The sequence below is a fragment of the Homo sapiens genome, chromosome 1 (genome assembly GCF_000001405.40).
Source record: "Homo sapiens chromosome 1, GRCh38.p14 Primary Assembly".
Lineage (NCBI taxonomy): Eukaryota > Metazoa > Chordata > Mammalia > Primates > Hominidae > Homo > Homo sapiens.
This window is the reverse complement of record NC_000001.11, coordinates 148,431,707-148,432,958: the sequence shown is the minus strand read 5'-3', so window position 1 is coordinate 148,432,958 and position 1,252 is coordinate 148,431,707. Positions and strand designations below refer to the sequence as shown.

General features: G+C 41.2%; 1 pseudogene across 10 annotated transcripts in view; it reads right to left on the bottom strand.

Annotated features, from left to right (window-relative positions):
- Positions 1-412: 412 nt before the first annotated feature.
- The window catches only part of PDE4DIPP6 (PDE4DIP pseudogene 6), a 30,041-nt pseudogene continuing 29,201 nt past the window's right edge, over positions 413-1,252 (bottom strand). For all 10 annotated transcript variants that reach the window (NR_168364.1, NR_168363.1, NR_168362.1 and 7 more), the window contains one exon: positions 413-864. The product of NR_168364.1 is annotated as a PDE4DIP pseudogene 6, transcript variant 4 (transcript). The remainder of the gene's footprint in view (positions 865-1,252) is intronic.

Sequence of the window (1,252 nt, the reverse complement as noted above, 5' to 3'; positions counted from 1 at the left end):
CCAGCGGCTTATCCTTGAATTCTTTTCTTGGCAAAGCCAAGGAGACTACAGTCTGGGAGAAATTTCCCACGCTACAAACCAGTTTTGGGGCTTGCCTGCCCTGTGTCACTATCATTATTTCCTTGGATTTCACAGGAGTGTACATGTGTGAGACTGCTGCCCTGCTTATAGATCTGTTTCCCTGCAGGAAACAGGAGTATCTTGCCTGTGGCTTCCAGAGTTGGAGATACATGTAGTTTCACTACTGAGTGCTAACATTTAATTTTGGAATCAAGTGATGCAATCAGACTGGTTGCTATCATTCTGTGGTATACATGTAGTGAACACATTTGTGACTGAGTTTCCTGCTTTTAGCTGGAGCAAGAAAGTTTTATAATTGTGATTTGTACAAAAAAAATGATAGGCAAGAGAATGTGTGTAAAATAAACTTTATTGTCAGAGGTTTCTAAACGCTCATCCTTCAAGGAAAACGGACATATGCTGAAGAGCTGATAAACAGTCTACAGCAGTGTTTTTCTAACTTAATCTTGATTACAAGTCCTTGCCATTTTCCTCCAGCTGCTGTTGACTCCAGTTATATATAGGTTGGGGGAAAGGGGATTATCTATGGATGTAGGCATCACTGTCTCTTGGGCAGTTATCACATTTGCAGGCTGAAGGGATGTGATTTTTATAATCAAACTATCCATTTGGAATACAAATCTGGAGTGGCTGTAAAATTTGCTTCTCGGAGATGGAGCTTTCAAATTTGGACTTTCAATTGTTCTGTTGTTTTAGTTGTTCTCGTCAACTGGGGAACTGTTTGTGACTAAGCTTTGTTAAAAGTAGAGAAGAGCTTTTCATAGTTCCAACATCAGTTGTTACCTGAAACAAACAAAAACACACACACATATACAATGAAACAATAATCTTTGGTGAGGTCTTGCTGATACCTAACTGAGGCTGGAGTGAGAGCTAAGTGGTGATACAGGCCAGGTGCAAACTGAGTGCAGCTAAGTGGATAATCTCTGGTAGTGAACTACAGTCTAGAAGAAGATAGTAATAATAGATAGAAAAGAAAGTCTCCTGAAATGAACTAGCTGGCCTGTGGTGTAGGACACAGGACCCCAGCCACCTTATGATTCTAAAAGCCTTGCTCAAAGCCGCTGCAGATGAGTTAGCTAGGTCTCTACCACCTCCTCAGCATCAACTGACTTTCCATAATACTCCTCTGCAGAGAAATAAAGGTCTTTCACGCCTCCCAGGAAGGGAT